This window comes from Homo sapiens, chromosome 8 (assembly GCF_000001405.40).
Source record: "Homo sapiens chromosome 8, GRCh38.p14 Primary Assembly".
Taxonomy (NCBI): domain Eukaryota; kingdom Metazoa; phylum Chordata; class Mammalia; order Primates; family Hominidae; genus Homo; species Homo sapiens.
The window spans coordinates 61,278,690-61,295,060 of record NC_000008.11 but is presented as its reverse complement, the minus strand read 5'-3'; the positions used below and the strand labels follow the sequence as shown (position 1 = coordinate 61,295,060).

Sequence of the window (16,371 nt, the reverse complement as noted above, 5' to 3'; positions counted from 1 at the left end):
TAGGTAATGGTATTTTTGTATGAGAGGGAGAAAAGAAGAGTATCCATACTATGATATTTAAAATAATGTTATCTGTAGATTCTAGTTGTATATTTCATCTCAAGTTTACATTAGAAAAAAATCCTTTTGTATTTCCTCATACAGAATTTAGTATTAGGAAAGTACATCTACAAACATACACTGTATTCCTTACGAATCAAAGAGTTTAAGCATAAAAATATTTTCAGAAAACTATGATAATTCAAATGAAATCAATTTGGTAATTTTATGATCTATTATTCTCATTTATTTATTTTATTATAATCTTCAGAAACACATACAATATATCAGGAAAAGGTCAGAATTATATCAGCAATGTCTCATCTAAAAATATGTATATGTATGTGTGTACGTAGTATTTCAAAGCATTTTATATCAATTATCTTTTTTCTTTGTTACAGGGATCCTGCAATAGACAGAAGAAAGATAATTCCCTGGGAAGTGCTGAGGTAAAATTCTGTGAAATAATGTTGGTAAAACTGCTTGTGAAAGGAAAAGATCTACTTTACTTTAACTGTAAATTCTTGTTGATATTATAATTATGCTGTATCCAGGTAAATATTCGGGGTACATAACAGCTAAGTCAGATAATGAGCTTGTTTTAAAGTTGGAAAACCAACAAATATTCATGGAGTACTTATTAGATGCCAAGGTCTTTGATATTATATAGTCTAATTTCCACAGCAATCCTTAAAGGTAGGTTATTACTATTAGATGAAAAGATGAATCTGAGATTTAGATATGGCTGAAAGAACAAAGATTTGCACTCAAACCTACTTTACCCACGTTTTGTCCAAGACTCTGCTCTCCAAGTAGGTGCCTTGTTTAACATCACTCTGAGTACCGGTGCCCTCACACTCAACTACACTCACATAATAGACACACATCCACACCCTGTCAGTCCTAAAGGACATCATTTAAGGGGTGTTGTAAAACTGCCCAAATTTGGGGAGGAAATAGAATATTGTTGTCATGATCAGAAAGATAAAATCTGTAAAGCCTAAATATTATTTGAAATATAAGAACATCAATAACTGCTGAACAACACTTCAAATTTGCATGGCTTCTGGGTGTTCTTAGTAATACAAAGAACAGTTTTTAAGTACACATAAATTTAAATTAATACAAATATAAAATAAGAAACAATAGCCATATTTGTTTTGTGGGTTTCTTTCATAAGAAAAGGATGAAAAATTAATACCGGTGACAACACTTTGTACAGAAAGTCTAACCAACTAACTCATCCATTGGTATGTGTGAATTTTTGTTTCCAAATTTTTAATATATATTGAATTGGGTTAACCCTTATAGCTCTTTACCTTGCTAAAAACTTACTTCAAATTTTTAAATTGAATATGAATTTTTACCTAGGAATACCAAAAGAAATTTTTATACTGAATGAAATAAAAATAGATGCTGCTGATATATCTAAGCCAAAACTGAAAATCATAGTGACCAAAAATATTTCTTTTTAAGTGTAACTCTATTTGAAATCTTTCTTGAAAGATAATACACTCCCTTACAGCCTATTTAGCCTATATTTAAATCTCAGAGGCTGGTTGGTTACATGTTCCATGGTGCTGACCAGAAGGAGTCTTTTTTCTGATGGATGAATTTTCAGATTGGCCATTATGGTTTGTAGGACTTCTGCATGAGTACTGGCTAAGGAACATCAGACCTGTGGGTAAAAAGTGACCCTGAATTCATTGACTTTCTTTAAATGTTAGCCAACTTACAGATATAAACTATCTGTACTAGGGGCAGGGAGAGTAGTCTACAAGGATAGAGAGGAGACTCTGAATTATCTGAAAGCATAACGTGACCAGAATTTAGCCCATGCTACACAGTTCACCTTTCACCACCTTTAGCTTAGTCCTAGCCTAGGACTAACTCTTGCCACATAAATACTCATTGTGTAGACTCCCTTGGCTCCCTTTAAAACAGCAAAGAAGCACACAATCATTTGCTCCCATTTGGTCCTGCTCTCAAGAAATGTTAAAAGTAGATTGGAATGAGCTCCATCAGAGTAGAGACACTGAAAACTTTTGTAACCAAAATAGATGCCAGGTCAGAATTAGAACAGACTGCAACTCAGGGAAGAAGGACCTATGTGACAGAGGATTCTAGAACCATTTTGCAGTTTTCTTTGGGGCAAATAATGCAAGGAGTTGAGGGGAATGCCAACTTATAAAGTATGAGATTTTTGTTCCTCCTCACTGTGTTTGGTAGAAAAAGTCTTTAATTGAAGTAGCATTTACCTTACACCTCAATGTATCTTAAACAAAGTTAATATATAGGGAAATAATTGTTGAGTCATAGAATATTAGACTGGAATGTTTCGTAGGCTATTCAACTATCCCCATAAGAAGTCATTGGCAGTTGATACCCCAATTTTTAAAACAGATTAGTTGTGCTTCCTAGGGGTATCAATGGGAAGAGAAAGGAAAACAAACAAACAAACAAAAACCTTGACCCTTCTGTCTTCAAAGGGAAAGAGTATTTCTCTAAGAATAGATTCTCTTTTTTAAGGAAGAGGACCTAAAGGAGATAAGAAAGGTAGGACTCACCCAAAAACGGCCATTAACTCTATTTGCCCCCTTTTCCACTAATTGTTTTCCCAGCAGATCCATGTAACCGTGACCCTTCTTCTGGATGTGATTGCACAGACAATGGCAGCAGTGGGAATCACAGCTAAGAAAACTGCCTGGGAAAAGTAAAACACATCAGCAAGCTTAAGGGTGAGGTGGGAGGAAAGAGGCTATTTTTATAACTTTCTCCTCAATTAGAAATAGAATTTCTGAGCTCTTATTTCTTCAGAACATGGAGTGGTTTTTGTTTCATTTTAGAATGGGTCTTATTATTTAATAGTCAGACGTAAAAGTGAGAATATTAAAAAAAAAAAAACTTTTCTTTGCCCTGGCTTCTCAAAGGGTGGTCCATGCATCAGCAGTGGCAGCAGAACCCAGGACCTTGTTAGTGACACAGCATGTCAGGACTCACTTAGACCTACTGAACAGGTAACAGAATCCCCAGGCAATTTGTATGCAAATTAATGTTTGAGAAAAGCTGGTCCAGAGGATTTATAACGACCCAGAGGGGTTGAGAGGTAGGTTAATTGCCTCTGAGGCTAGAACTCATGCTGTCTGTGGACAGCCCTAATGCACTGTCCAGGAGGAACATAAAAGTACCCACAATGTGTTCTTTACCTATGGAGCAATGGCACTCATAATAGTTTATCAGATCACCCTGTTAATTACTCTCACTATGTTTGCATGCTCTATATATCAACCACAAAAGAAGGAAGAGAGGAAGGCAGGGAAATTTAGAGAGAGGGAGGGAAAGGAGGAGGGAAGAAGAGAAAAAAGGAAAGAGTGAAAGATCTCATGGGTTTTGTTTATTTTGTTTTAATTTGACCACATATTAAGAAGTTTTTATGTACAGATCCTGTAATTTAACACGCCCCCCTACAACATGCTATTCCCAGGCCCATAACTTCTCTCCTACTTCCTCCAAAACTATAAAATAATGAACAATTGAATAAGCTATGTAAATGACACACAAATATATGGAACTTTGTCTAAGACCTTTGATACTATTTTAAGGAGCATAGATAGAAAAGGAGTCATCAGTGGTCTGCACAACATTTAGGAACAGATTTGGCTACAAGCATCCTAGAAACAAGAACAGATCATCTCAAACACATGTGGAGAAATTTCTGCTGGCTCAGAAATTATCAAGCACAAAAGCTCACAGGAAATTAGCCTACCACACAGGGAACTTTCTCTGATACTCCCTGTCACAGAACAGGTGCATAAAGGGACAGAGCCTAGGGCAACCTGACCTGAGAAGGTATAATAAAGGGCTATGGGAGGCATCAGACTTAGGGAAGAAAAATGAACTTATTATCTCAATAAATGGAAGCTTTTTATGGGGCAGGGGATGTTTGGCCAGTTCATTTTCAATCCATAAAGAATCAAGCAAAAGAATATAAACTTCCCTTAAACTAAGAAAAACTTAGATTGGCAATTAAGCATAAGTTTCAATAAAGAGACATACATCAGTTAGAGGTTGCAGACTTGTCAAAATTCACACTGTGGACCTTCTTTTGAAACAACTTTATTCCAGTGATATCTGGATAAAATTAACAATAATCAAAACAAGCAATATTTGGGAGAAGGTTGAAAAGAAGGTCTCTCTTGGCAATGTTGAGGACATATTTCTGGACTGATTGCATATAGTCAAGCTTCATATTTTGTATACTCATTCTGCTGTGCTGCCTCCTCTGTCTAAGTCACTGTGTAACAGGAAGAGTAGAGAAGATCAAAGTCAGCCTGGATCCATTTACTAAGGATGGAAGTCTCTGCTATCAGGGAGTACGTCAAGTTGTGAATAGACTTCTTAGGGATAATAAAGTGCCTCTCTTTGTAAAACCTTCAGAAGTGAGCAGACACTACCAATTCTGAAAAGTTCAAGATTTTGCCTTTTGGGAAATGAAAGACCTTCCAGCTGTCTACTCCATGATTCTAAAATGATGCACTCTTCTATGAGCATGTCTACAAAAATATATGATGACACTCGGCTGGAAAACATTTTCTCTTCACCTTTAAATCCATTATAAAAATGAGTAATTTCTGTTACTGAAAATATTTTTTAAAGGCAAAATAGCTCTCAATAGAAAAGATTTAAGTAAGGAAGCCAGGATACATCATTCTATAAAAATTAATAAGCTCAGCATAACATTTCAGTCAAGAAAAGTCATTGCTTACAGACAGATGCCTGTAAATCTCACTGAAGCAGCATGTTTTAAAATTTCCCCAGCCCCAGGAGATTGTATTAAGCAGAGGAAGACAGAAGCTCTAGAGGCACTGGATTCCTGGACTGCGTTTCTGGTGTGAAGCAGCTAGAATTGGCAATATGTACACTCTTAAAAATTTTCTGAGCTGAACCATTCTTTACAGACAGAAAAGGGAGTTTTAAGAATCTCCTTTCTCAGGGACTTTTAAGAGGTCTTGGTTACTGTGGATATTACCAAGCCAAGGACATTATGTGGATGACCAAATTTTCTTCTATAAAATCCATTTCACCACATATTTTACTAGTTTTCTTGCTTGGGATCCAAAAGTGAATGAATTTTAGAGGCAGGTGGAATTATGTCTATATAATTAGTGGCAGTAATTAACTTTTGACACAATGCGACTATTTCTCATTCTCAAAGAGACTTAAGTATGAATTTTCCTCAGAACTTCTTCCGCAAGATACATATTTGTGACTGTCTTTATTTTCGACAATGCCTCTAATGGTGAGCAAGCTGGTTTAGATGAAACGTGCTGCAATGTCTTTAAGAGGCAGAATAAATACACAACGACAATTTTAAAATCAAGCTTTTCTGTGCTCTGGTTTAAACTTTCTTATCATGTGTGACCTATTATTCCCATTTAAATAATCTCGTTTTTAATTAAGATGTTAATTTCATAAGAAAATAACTTGTCAAAAAATCCCAATGCTTTACTGTTCAGTAAAAATCAATTAAATGAACACCCAGCAAGACATTTTTATTGATGACAGGCTCAGGCACTTATTTTCTGGTGCTTGTTAGCTCTTATAAAACAGATAATCCTGGCTAAATCAAATAGGGACTATGACTTGGGCTTAGACTTTCAGGTTCAAATTAATCAGACATTTGAAAGGTGTTCCAACTTCCCTTCAGCTGAGATAGAAAATGATAGCACTCTAAAAGCAGAGCCTGGCAGAATGGAGTTACATAAAATGCCTTTTCAATTTTTGCATTCTATTACCCTTTACTATTATAGGAAAATGGTGTTATCACCTGATTACTGAGAAAGCACACAAAAATCTCGCCTTCCAAATCTGAGCCAGTCCTTGACTGGTGACAAACAAAGCAAGGCCATCTGGTCTGAATATCATTACTACTTTTGCCATTTGGGCAAGGGATCTATCTTCTTTGCTTCAAAGAGAGGTTTAAGATTGGAAAATAGAAATGAAATAAGTAGACAGGAAGAAACATTGGAACAAATAGTTCATTCGAATGAGAGCCCCCTTTCTTAAGTTACAATCATTACCATCATTTTTATTTTTATTCTTGCCAGAGTTAACCTTTAGGGTCCCTATTTTACAAAACATTTTAGTGAAAAAAGAAGAAAAAACTTAATTCTGGAGTTTCTGCATTAAACACTTAGGAAAGGAAACGGACGTGTGGGTGAATATGAGTCATCGGTCACCCCCACCCTGCTTCCTGGTGATTCTCCATTGGAAAACCAGAAACACAGGTTGAGCTTACATTTCTGTTTTTCTGGAATCACATTATGCCCTAGGCCATGTTAATTTCCTCAACTAAACAGACCCTAATCTGCTGAAAGGCAGCTGGCTAACTGCTGGTGTCTGGCAAGTGCCCCATCTGTCCCCGTGCCTGGGGTCTCTCCCTCCTGCCTTCACTTTCCCTTTCTCGCAAACAGGCGTCTCTCTTTGTTTTCAGGGGTTTGTTCACCTGAACTTTCCTTCCTATGCCTGTCAACTTGAGCTCTTTCCCTCTGCCCTGCGGACCTCGGGCTTTGTCTAAGTGGCAAGACACAGTTGTGTGACTATAGTTACCGCGCTGGTGATGGTGGCTATGATGACGGTGATGGTGGAGATGGGGGTGCTGATGTGTAAGGGGGCGCAGGCTGAGCGGGCGCCGGGAGGAGGATGGACCGCGGAGGCGGCGGGGAGCGGGGTGCGGTGCGGGAGGGATGGAGTGCAGAGGGATTGCAGATGGGAGCTGTCCACATACCGAAGTGCTGAAACGCCGCAGCCATGGCATCGAAAGAGCGGGGGAAAGGCGGGGAGGCTCGGCAAATACAGAGGGGAGAAAAAAGGTAACAAATACCTTCACACGGCCGCCCAGCCTTGCTTTGGGAATGTATTTCTGCAGGTGTCCTCGCTGCTGAACTGGGTGGGTGAGATCCCCTATTCTGGCAGGTTCGGGCTCAGATTTCTCTAGAAAGCTGTGAATGAGAGCTCGGGCTCCACAAGGGGCTGTGATTTTGGTAGGAGGCGTGTGCGCCCGATTCTCTGTCCTTCTATACGGAGCCTAGCTTTCCCCTGGGTCCTAAATGCCTCCGTACCACAACCCTCCCTGGTTCCGTTGAGACGTACCAATAATTATTTGTAATTTTGTTAACATCTGGGACAAAAAGTACCAGCGTCATCACTCCCCACACAACATTAAAAATAGAATATTTCAAACGGATTAATGAAAGCGCAAAAGCAGATGTGTGTGTCTGTGTGTGTGTGTGTAAATTTGACAGGTAAGAAAGTATCACAAACCTATGGGAATTATTTTACTAACAAATGGTATTAAGAAAATGAACTATTTGAAAAGACTCAAATCAAAGTCTTTTCACCAAAATAAATTACACATAGATGTTTTTATCAAAAACATAAAATTTAAAAATATAACTAGAAGAACAGAAATATTTTACCGATCTCAGGATAGGAAAGGTTTTCTAAGCACAAGAGGAATAGAAGACATAAAAAAGAAAAAGATCGGTAAGTTTGAGTGCATAAAAACACTCCTGAATGTCAGAATATAAAAAAAGTAAATACAAATTACCACTTTAAAAAATTGCAGCAAGTAGATGTTTCATACACAAAGTATCACATATAAGAGAAACACTAACAGCCTTTTAGAAAAAAAGGAGGAATGTTAAATGACAAAGAATTTATAGAAGAAATGGGGATGCATAATAAACACATTTTTTTAATATCAACCTCGCCAGTAAATGAAAATATGCAGTTTAATATGGCAGTTTGGGCTGAAGTTTTAAATATGCATGTCTTATATTGTTGGAATAATAGTGAGAAAGCATAACATTTTTAAAAATCTATTTCACAATGTATATCCAGTGTCATAAATATACATGGCATTTAGATCCAGTAATTTCACTTCTCGTACCTTATGCTAGGGATATATTCAGATATGCAAAGATTTATGTGTATAAATTTCATTTACGATCATAGAAATTGTCAAAAAATAAAAAAGCATTAATTTTTATATAGCCTGTAATGTTTATAGCTATTAAAACATATTTTTGAAAACTGTTTAAGGCCAAAAAAGAAATACTTGCAAAGTGTTAAGTGAAGGAAAGCAAGATATCAAATACAGCATTCCCATTAGTTAGATCACTATGGGTAAATTTTCTTTTTGCCAAGATAACTTGATTTTCTTACTTGTATTTGCTTAAAGTTTTCACATTTACTAAAAGGTTAGAAAACTTATTAAATATTTTAAAGTAATCTTTCTATCATGTATTTCAAAGACTTTAAAGTCATCAGAATTCTTCCAACTCTAACATAGTATTATATATTTACTTATTTGTTTAGTCATTCTCTCTGATGGAATGTAAGTACCATGTGGCAGATAATTTGTGTGTTTGTTCACTACTGCTTCCCAAGCACTTACAAGTATGCCTGGAACAACATAGCTTATACATTCCCAGAACGAGAGAATCCACATCTGGAAATGATGTAGCAATAAGACAACCATCTAAAACTTAGAGATTCAAAATTGAGAAATGGTTGCAGCAAGCGAAGGAATTTTTGGAGATGGGTTGGGTGTGATATATGGGTGGTAAGTTCTATGCTCTATGGCTCCATAGGGGCTAAGATATTTTTGATAACCACTGGAGCAGATTATTGCAGAAATATTGGCTGATCATCTAATATCCTGAGGCTTGCCCACACTTTCCAGCCCTATTACATATGGGCAGGGCCATGAGCTTACTCTGGCCATGGGCTATGACAATTCCTTACTTAGTCCCCAGGTGACTAAGTAGAACACAGTCTCACTTAGCCCCCTCTTCATTTCAAATTTCCATTCCCACTGTGAACAAAGAAGAAGCCACAGTTATGGGAAGTCACTGGGGCTGCAGAGTTAATTTGTTCTTCTAGCATTACCTAGCCTATCCTGACTAATTCAAACTCAAACTTAAAAAAAAAATGGCCTGCACATTAGATCATAGAAATATTAATGACAGCGTCTTATGTGCTAAAAAAAAAAAAAAAAACTACAGGGAAAACAAAATATGATCCAGTTAACTAGAATATTCTTCCTTCTACAATTTGACCTTATTCCTCACACATTTTCTTGGCTCTTAAACATCCATGCTAGTCACATGTTCAACAATGTGCTGTTTCACCCTTGTAAAATCATCCTGACATCTCCTTCATAAATATAGGTATTTCTCTGGGTATTAAGCCCATTATTCCTGGACTCTCAACTTCAGTGCACCCTCACGTGGATAGAGTCTTTACCTGTCACTGGTCAACACACACAAGGCACTCCCCCTGTACTCAAACCTACATCACAGCAAACCCAACATTAACAGTGCCCTTTAAAGGAGTACAGAAGTGAGTACTGAGTTGGGCGTGCCAGGAGCGAGGTCAGGCAGCATAAAAGATGCTTATAAGCAGGCCGGGCCTTCACCCTTGTCATTGACTGTTTATGCACAAAGGGGTTCATTGAGGAATCCTGGTAAACAAATATGTAGGCAGCTTCCATGTGCGGAGCTGAAATGGAGGTCAAGCAGAGTGTGCAAAACATCAGCACAATGTCAATCAGGGTAAGTGAAGGAAAGGAACTTCCTGAATGATTATATTCTAATCTGTTCTGTGCAAAGGACCTATATGCTTATCAAAGTAGCCCAGTTTCCTTTGCAATGACATTAAAAAGTGTAAAATCAAATTAAGTTCACATCTAGCCAATTTCCCAAGTAAGGCAGTTGCAAATAAGTATTTACAAACAGGATAAGGCATTCTTTACAATATTTTGAAACACATTCCTGGGGGATGTGCTAGTTTTGGGCCTACTTTCTTCCCATAGATGATTGGAAGTCCAAGGCTTATTTTAATTCTGTAAGGCTCCACAGACTTTTTTTTTAGTCCAATCTCATAGTTTCCTTGGAAGTATAACTGTCTGAAGACCTTAGAGGCGCAACTTCCATCTGACTTAATCAATTCCCTATTCCAGTAGCCACACCATAGGTCTTTAGAGGCACAGAGCTTAGATCTGCTATATTTATTTGCTTTTTCACTTCTATATCTTTCATAATGTATGTGAGTCTCTCTGGAGTAGTAAGTAGTAAGGCCAGATCATTTACCTGATCTCTTCTTTGAGACATTCTAAACCACTGAGAGATTTTAAGTAGACATGAAGGTCACACCCTTAATCTTATTCTTGGCATAAATATTTAGTTTTAACAGACTTTGCCTCAAATGCTTACTTAATTTTACCTCTTTCTTTTGGGAGCAAAATGTATTGGCTTTTCCAACATGGCAAGACCTTGGAATTATGGAAATATTTGTTCTTCTTTATTTGCACTTTAATAACCAGGCTTTTCTTTGTTTATTATCTTGCAAAAGCAGCAAGTAATAACCAAGACACACTACCGACACTTTGGTCTTTACCCACTTCTCACTAAAAATGTGAATTAAGTACACAATCTTTTTGTATGATTGACACATAATAGTTGTATACATTTATGGGGTACAATATGATGTTTTGATACGTATATTCATTGTGTAATGACAAAATTAGGGTAATTAGTACATTTATCACCTTAAACATTTACTTTTTCCTTTGTGATGAGAACATTCAATAACCTCTTTTCTAGCTATTTTGAAATATACAGTACATTACTGTTAACCCTAGTCATTCTGCTATAGCAGTGGAACACCAGAACTTATTCATCCTCTCTAACAGTAATTTTGTATCTGTGGCCAGTATCTCATTACCCTCCCTCTGTCCTGCCCTCTCCATCCTGTGGTAACCACTATTCTACTTTCTACTTCTATGACAACAACACTTTAGATTCCACAGATGACTGAGACCATGAGATATTTTTCTTTCTCTATCTGACTTATGTCACTTAACATAATGTCCTTCAGGTTTATCTATGTTGCCACAAATGTCAGGATTTCATTCTTTGTTACAGGTAAATAGTATTCCATTGTGTATATATACTACTTTTAAAAACACTTACACTTAGGCCGATTCCATATATTGGAATATATTGGAATAACTTACTTCTAAGTTATTGCAGGTGACCATTTTGCCAAATGTTTTATGACTGCACAACACAAATTGCTGTTTCCCACCTTTGATATCAGCTTCCTAACCATGTGTTGCCAACCACCAGGTCAACACTACACAATTTATTTTTTAATTCAGCACTTCACTTCCAGGACATGATAGGCTGTGCTTCAATAATAAATAAACCCAAAGATCTCAGAGGCTTGATACAATGAAGTTTAATTTCTCAGGCTAGTGGTTCAATGCTTTGTTGGCAGGGAGATGAGGTATAGGGCAACAGAAGATCTCTACTCCACAAATTCAGACTCAGGAAAGTTCTATCATTTTGAAAGCTATCATGGTGGGGGAAATGTATACATGAGAACTCTCACTCACTCCTAGAAGTGGTGTACATCATTCTACTCATAACCCATTGACCAGTATAAGAAATTTGGTCCTACTTGACTGCATGGAGCTGGAAAAGGTGGCAGTATTTGATGTGTAGTAGACTTTCAAGAGGAAGTACAAACTCAAGCATATTTCTGCAAGAATTGAGAGACTAAAAGCAAAGATCTAATGCTGCATCATTGTATACTGATACTCATCCCAGAGGACAATTGCATAGCATCAAACAGCAGGAAGTGTTCAAGGTTGGAAATTCTTGACAAAAAGGAAGAGTAAAGTAATTCAACCTGTAATGAATGTCTACAGTGAACCAAATAGGGTGGCATAACCACTGTTATCAAAATGATCAGTTCTATAACTTAAAAGAGCTCATTAACTGATATTAGAAAGGCTGAGGAAGGAGCATGGAAGTTGGAGAGAGAATATTTTCATTCAAATCTTATTTAGCTGCGGGATCTCAGATGAATTGCTACAGTAAAGACATGTTTTCTATCTGACCAGTACTCCTCTGGAGGAACTCTCCTTCCCCCGTTATCCAATATTCCTGTCCAGACTATATCATGGAAGGCACTTGACATTTTGATCACTCATTGCTGCACAGCATCACTGGGTAGGAGGGAATGAAGCCAGGGAGTGTTTGGAGATCTATGAAAACAGAGTACTATAGTTTCCATTTCCTATCCCAAGTTTTTTGTTCCTGCAACTTTTCATTCAATTATCTGAGCCACACTATGTGTTAGTCCCTTTCAGGTTGCAGGAAATAGATCCATACTTCATTTACTTTATCAGATGGGAACTTATTATAAGGATACACAATTTATAGTAATAATAATAGCTAAAACTTATTAATCTTTCCCCATGTATAAGCATTACTGCAAGAACTTTTCAAGCAATATGGCATTGAATCCTCACAGCAATTAACATGAGGGAGTACTTGTATTGTTCCCATTTTTCCAGGAAAACTGACTCATAAAGAAATTAAGTAACATGCCTGAATTATTTGGGCAGCTGGGATTGTAATCCATGTCCGCTTGTTCTCAAGGTCAATGCTCCAACCCACTGTTCTGCTATATTATCTGCATCCCAGAAGGATTAGGCTATCAGGCCTCTTGGAGAACTAAAAGTTGTCATAACTCAATGCCAGCTCCTGTGATCTTGTAACCAGGTTCTACTGTGGCATCTCCAACCATTTCCCCTGCTTCTACCAGCTGCTTCTTCTTCTCTTCTTCCCTCTACCTCATGATCCCTCCTTAATTATGGCCTCTGCTACTCAAGCCTTCTGCCTACTGCCACTTCGCTCTGCAACTTTCCCCATTCTGTCTTCTACTTACTGAGATTCTTTTTGTATGTTGCATTCAAACTTTCTTAGAACCACAATCTGTTTGGTTTATTTAGTCATTATCAGGTGAAGAGTAGTCCGCTCAGTTAAGATGCTTTCATAGGCAGCATAATAGGCCTCCCATTGCTAGTAGCCTTTTGCTCAGCACCAACCTTTGTTCTAATTAGTTGTGGCTAGGGTGATGGTGGAGGTGACATGATTATAATGAAACACCCATGGGCACTTTTCTCAAAAGGCATTGCAAAAGGTGTACAGAACTTCATGGCGTGTTAGTTATTTGTTGCTATATGAAGATCTTTGCAGTTTTTAAGACTGAAATTGGCAAGCCAGTCACTTGGACATGTTCCTAGGATTTGAGATATAGGAGTAGTATATTTATGTGGCTGGAGTGTCCAAAATGATCTCGAGTCAGAAGGGCAGGTTGGGATACAGGAGATAAGTGGATACCTTGAAGATGCAGAGTATAGCAAGAGGGCCTTGGATATTTAGTGGGATGAGGTAGGAAATGCAAATGCGGCAGAAATACAGAAAGAGATGAACCAGTAAATGGAAGGGCACTCTCTGTACTAGTGTGTTAGGGTTGCCACGACAAAATACCCTACCTTTGTTGACTTAAACAACATAAATTTATTTTCTAACAATTCTGGAGGTTAGAAGCCTCAGATCAGGGTGCCAGCAGGATTGGTTTCTAATGAGGGCTCTCTCCTTGTTTTGCAGATGGCTACCTTCTTACTGTGTCCTCACATGGTCTTCTCTGTTTATGCACATTCCTAATGTCTCTTTCTCTTCTTATGAGGATATCAGTCCTATTACATTAGGGCCCCACCCTTATGACCTCATTTAACCTTAATTACTTCCTTAGAGGCCCCATTTCCAAGTATCATCACATTGAGGTTTAGAGCTTCAGCATATGAATTTGGGGGACATAATTAAGTCCATAATACCCCCAAATGTGTTTCCCTACCCTTTAGGTGATGAACAGCCCTGCACTCATCCTTCTCACACAGCTTAACAACTGATGAAGACTTTCAATATATCTCATTTCAGGAATGAAGGAAAAATTACATTTCTTTGAAGTTTTCTGGAGATTTTTGCAATGATGCTGTTGATTCTGCTCAAAGGATAACTATGTAGAATAAATGTAGCAAATTCAAGTTTCTGAGTATAGATTTGAGGAGGATTGTCTCCAACACTGAAAAGTACATGCATTTCTCAAATGAGATGTAATGCCATTTGGGGAAAAAGACTATGAAGATGTGTATGTGCACATTAATAAGTTAATGATCTCCAAGCGTGGTGGCTCAGGTCTGCAGTCTGAGCACTTTGGGAGGCCTAGGTGGGTGGATTGCTTGAGCTCAGGAGTTCAAGACCATGTGATGCAACATAGTGAGACCTCATCTCTACAAAAAATACACAAAAAAAATAATTAATGATCACTTATGAGGGCTAAAGTTGTTTTGAAGAATATGATAATATCCCAAGACTTCCTCTTTTCTTGAGCTATTACATTCACAAATAAGGGACTTTGTTGCCATGAATAAGGCAAAGGCCCACGGAAATGTATATCTAGTTTCTTTACAAAAATACTTTATTGACATATGTTAATGCAGATATTTAATGGTCTTACTATTTTAATTATTTTCCTTTTCAATTTCAATGTAAATTCATAAAGAGTTTAAGTAACATGCCTAAATTATTTGAGCAGCTGGGATTGTAACCCACATCTGCCTGTTTCCAAGGTCAATTCTCTGAACCACTATTCTATTATACAATGAGAATCCCAGAAGGACTGAGCTATCAGGCCTTTTGGAGCACTAAAAGTTGTCATATTTCAATGTCAGCTCCTGTGCTGTTGTAATCAGGTTCTATCATGGCATCTCCCACCATTTCCCCTGCTAATACCAGTTGCTTCTTTTTCTCTTCTTCTCATAAAACTTACCATAAACTTCTAATAACATTTATAAAACTTATGATAAAATAACTCATCAATACCAAATATCAGTAGCCTGATTTTTAATGGATTCAGCAGAAATTCGACATCATTTTGAATTCCAAAAGAACAAATTTATCTAATGTAGAAGATAAACAGTAGCAAGTGAGTATTTAATTAGGTTTGTTACTTACTATCCATCTAATTTAAAAATGTACTCTTTTACCCCTATGCTTTGAATAATATGAATAACAATGTGTACAGAAAATATTTGTTATGCTGATTTTTTATCTTATTTAAAATAAGATATTTAAAGTTCACACTCTTTTATTCATGTAATTTTATACCTCCATGACAAATACTATCATATTAGATGAAGTCTCATTTCTCCTAATGACAATTAATCAATTTCAAAGTTAGTATTATTTCTGAATTCACATTAACCTTACCAAAAATTTTATTCAGACTCTGAAACTGGATAAAATATTTACTAGGTTTTAAAATCATTTTAACATATTATATAGTTGTATTCATAAATAATTATTAAGCCAATCAAACATCCAACTTACATGTATATCCTATAACACTGATATCTCAAATTACATTCTTGTGATGTAGTTCAAGTTTACATCCTTCTGGCCTCCCAAAGCTTCAGTGGATATCTTAATAGGGCATCAGAGGGGAGTTATGGTTTGGCAAATGAATGCTACAAATCATGTCTGAATGCATTCCAGCTGCTATGAGTTCCTCTTTCTGCAAAATTTGAATGCAGTTATTCAAATTTTGTGGAATTATTACTGCAGGTCTTTTTAGCTACTACAAGAGTTTGGTTTTAACATTTGTAACTTGCAAGTCAGTACTCTGAGAGATCATTAGAAAAAGAGGGAATTGGTCTTTGGGAATAGGAAAGAAAATATAAAGCAAGAGGCAGAGAGGGGCAGAGTTCTTTCATGAAGACTTGGGAGAGATGAGAAAACTAAGACACCTCTGGCCAAGAATGGCCTTCGCCTCACTGCCTGATGGGAAGCTGGAGCTGGGATGCAAAATAAGAGCCAGCTCTGAGTAGGTGCTTGTCATGACATCACCAAGCACAGCTGTGTTGTAAGGAGGAGGAAAGCTGGGGCAGGGATATACACTTCAGGTCTTTTTATACCTCAGATTTTTCCATTCATACCTCAAAAGCTAAGTCAGTCCAAAGGCGAGGCCCCGGCTCCCACACCCTAAAATCTAGAGCTGCAGTTTGATTGGCCCACTATGGCTAATGACTCTCTCAGCCACATGCCATCTCTGGTAACGGTTCTATGCAGGTGGTGCCAGCCTGTCAGTGAGGATGCCTGATCCATTGCTGTGGCCTCTGTCCCAAGCTTGTGCTGTCAATGCACCAGTGCTCACCACCAGCTCGGCCCAGAGGCCCCAGGAGCATGGGAGTAGGAAGGCAACAACTATCCTCATGTCCCAAGGCAAAGCCACCCTCAGTGATTCCAAGATAAACACCTCTTCTGAGGGAGACCCACTGAGTCATTCTAAAGGGCACAGCCCTAAACTGGAGGGTGTGCATTGGAGGAAAGAAGTTACCTTCAATTATTTCAAGGC

At 37.6% G+C, this 16,371-nt stretch overlaps 1 protein-coding gene across 4 annotated transcripts in view; it reads right to left on the bottom strand.

Annotated features, from left to right (window-relative positions):
* Positions 1–16,371, bottom strand: part of CLVS1 (clavesin 1) — a 536,782-nt gene that overhangs the window by 206,569 nt on the left and 313,842 nt on the right. The window contains exons 1-2 of one of the 4 annotated variants that reach the window (XM_017013142.3): positions 6,923–7,091; positions 2,607–2,743 (exon numbers count right to left, since the gene is read on the bottom strand). The exons of 1 other annotated variant lie outside the window; for it this stretch is intronic. The gene's annotated coding sequence lies outside the window, so the exon portion shown is untranslated. Of the gene's footprint in view, positions 1–2,606; positions 2,744–6,922; positions 7,092–16,371 lie in introns of those variants that run through there. 2 more of the 4 variants (XM_024447079.2, NM_173519.3) reach the window with 2 other exon arrangements.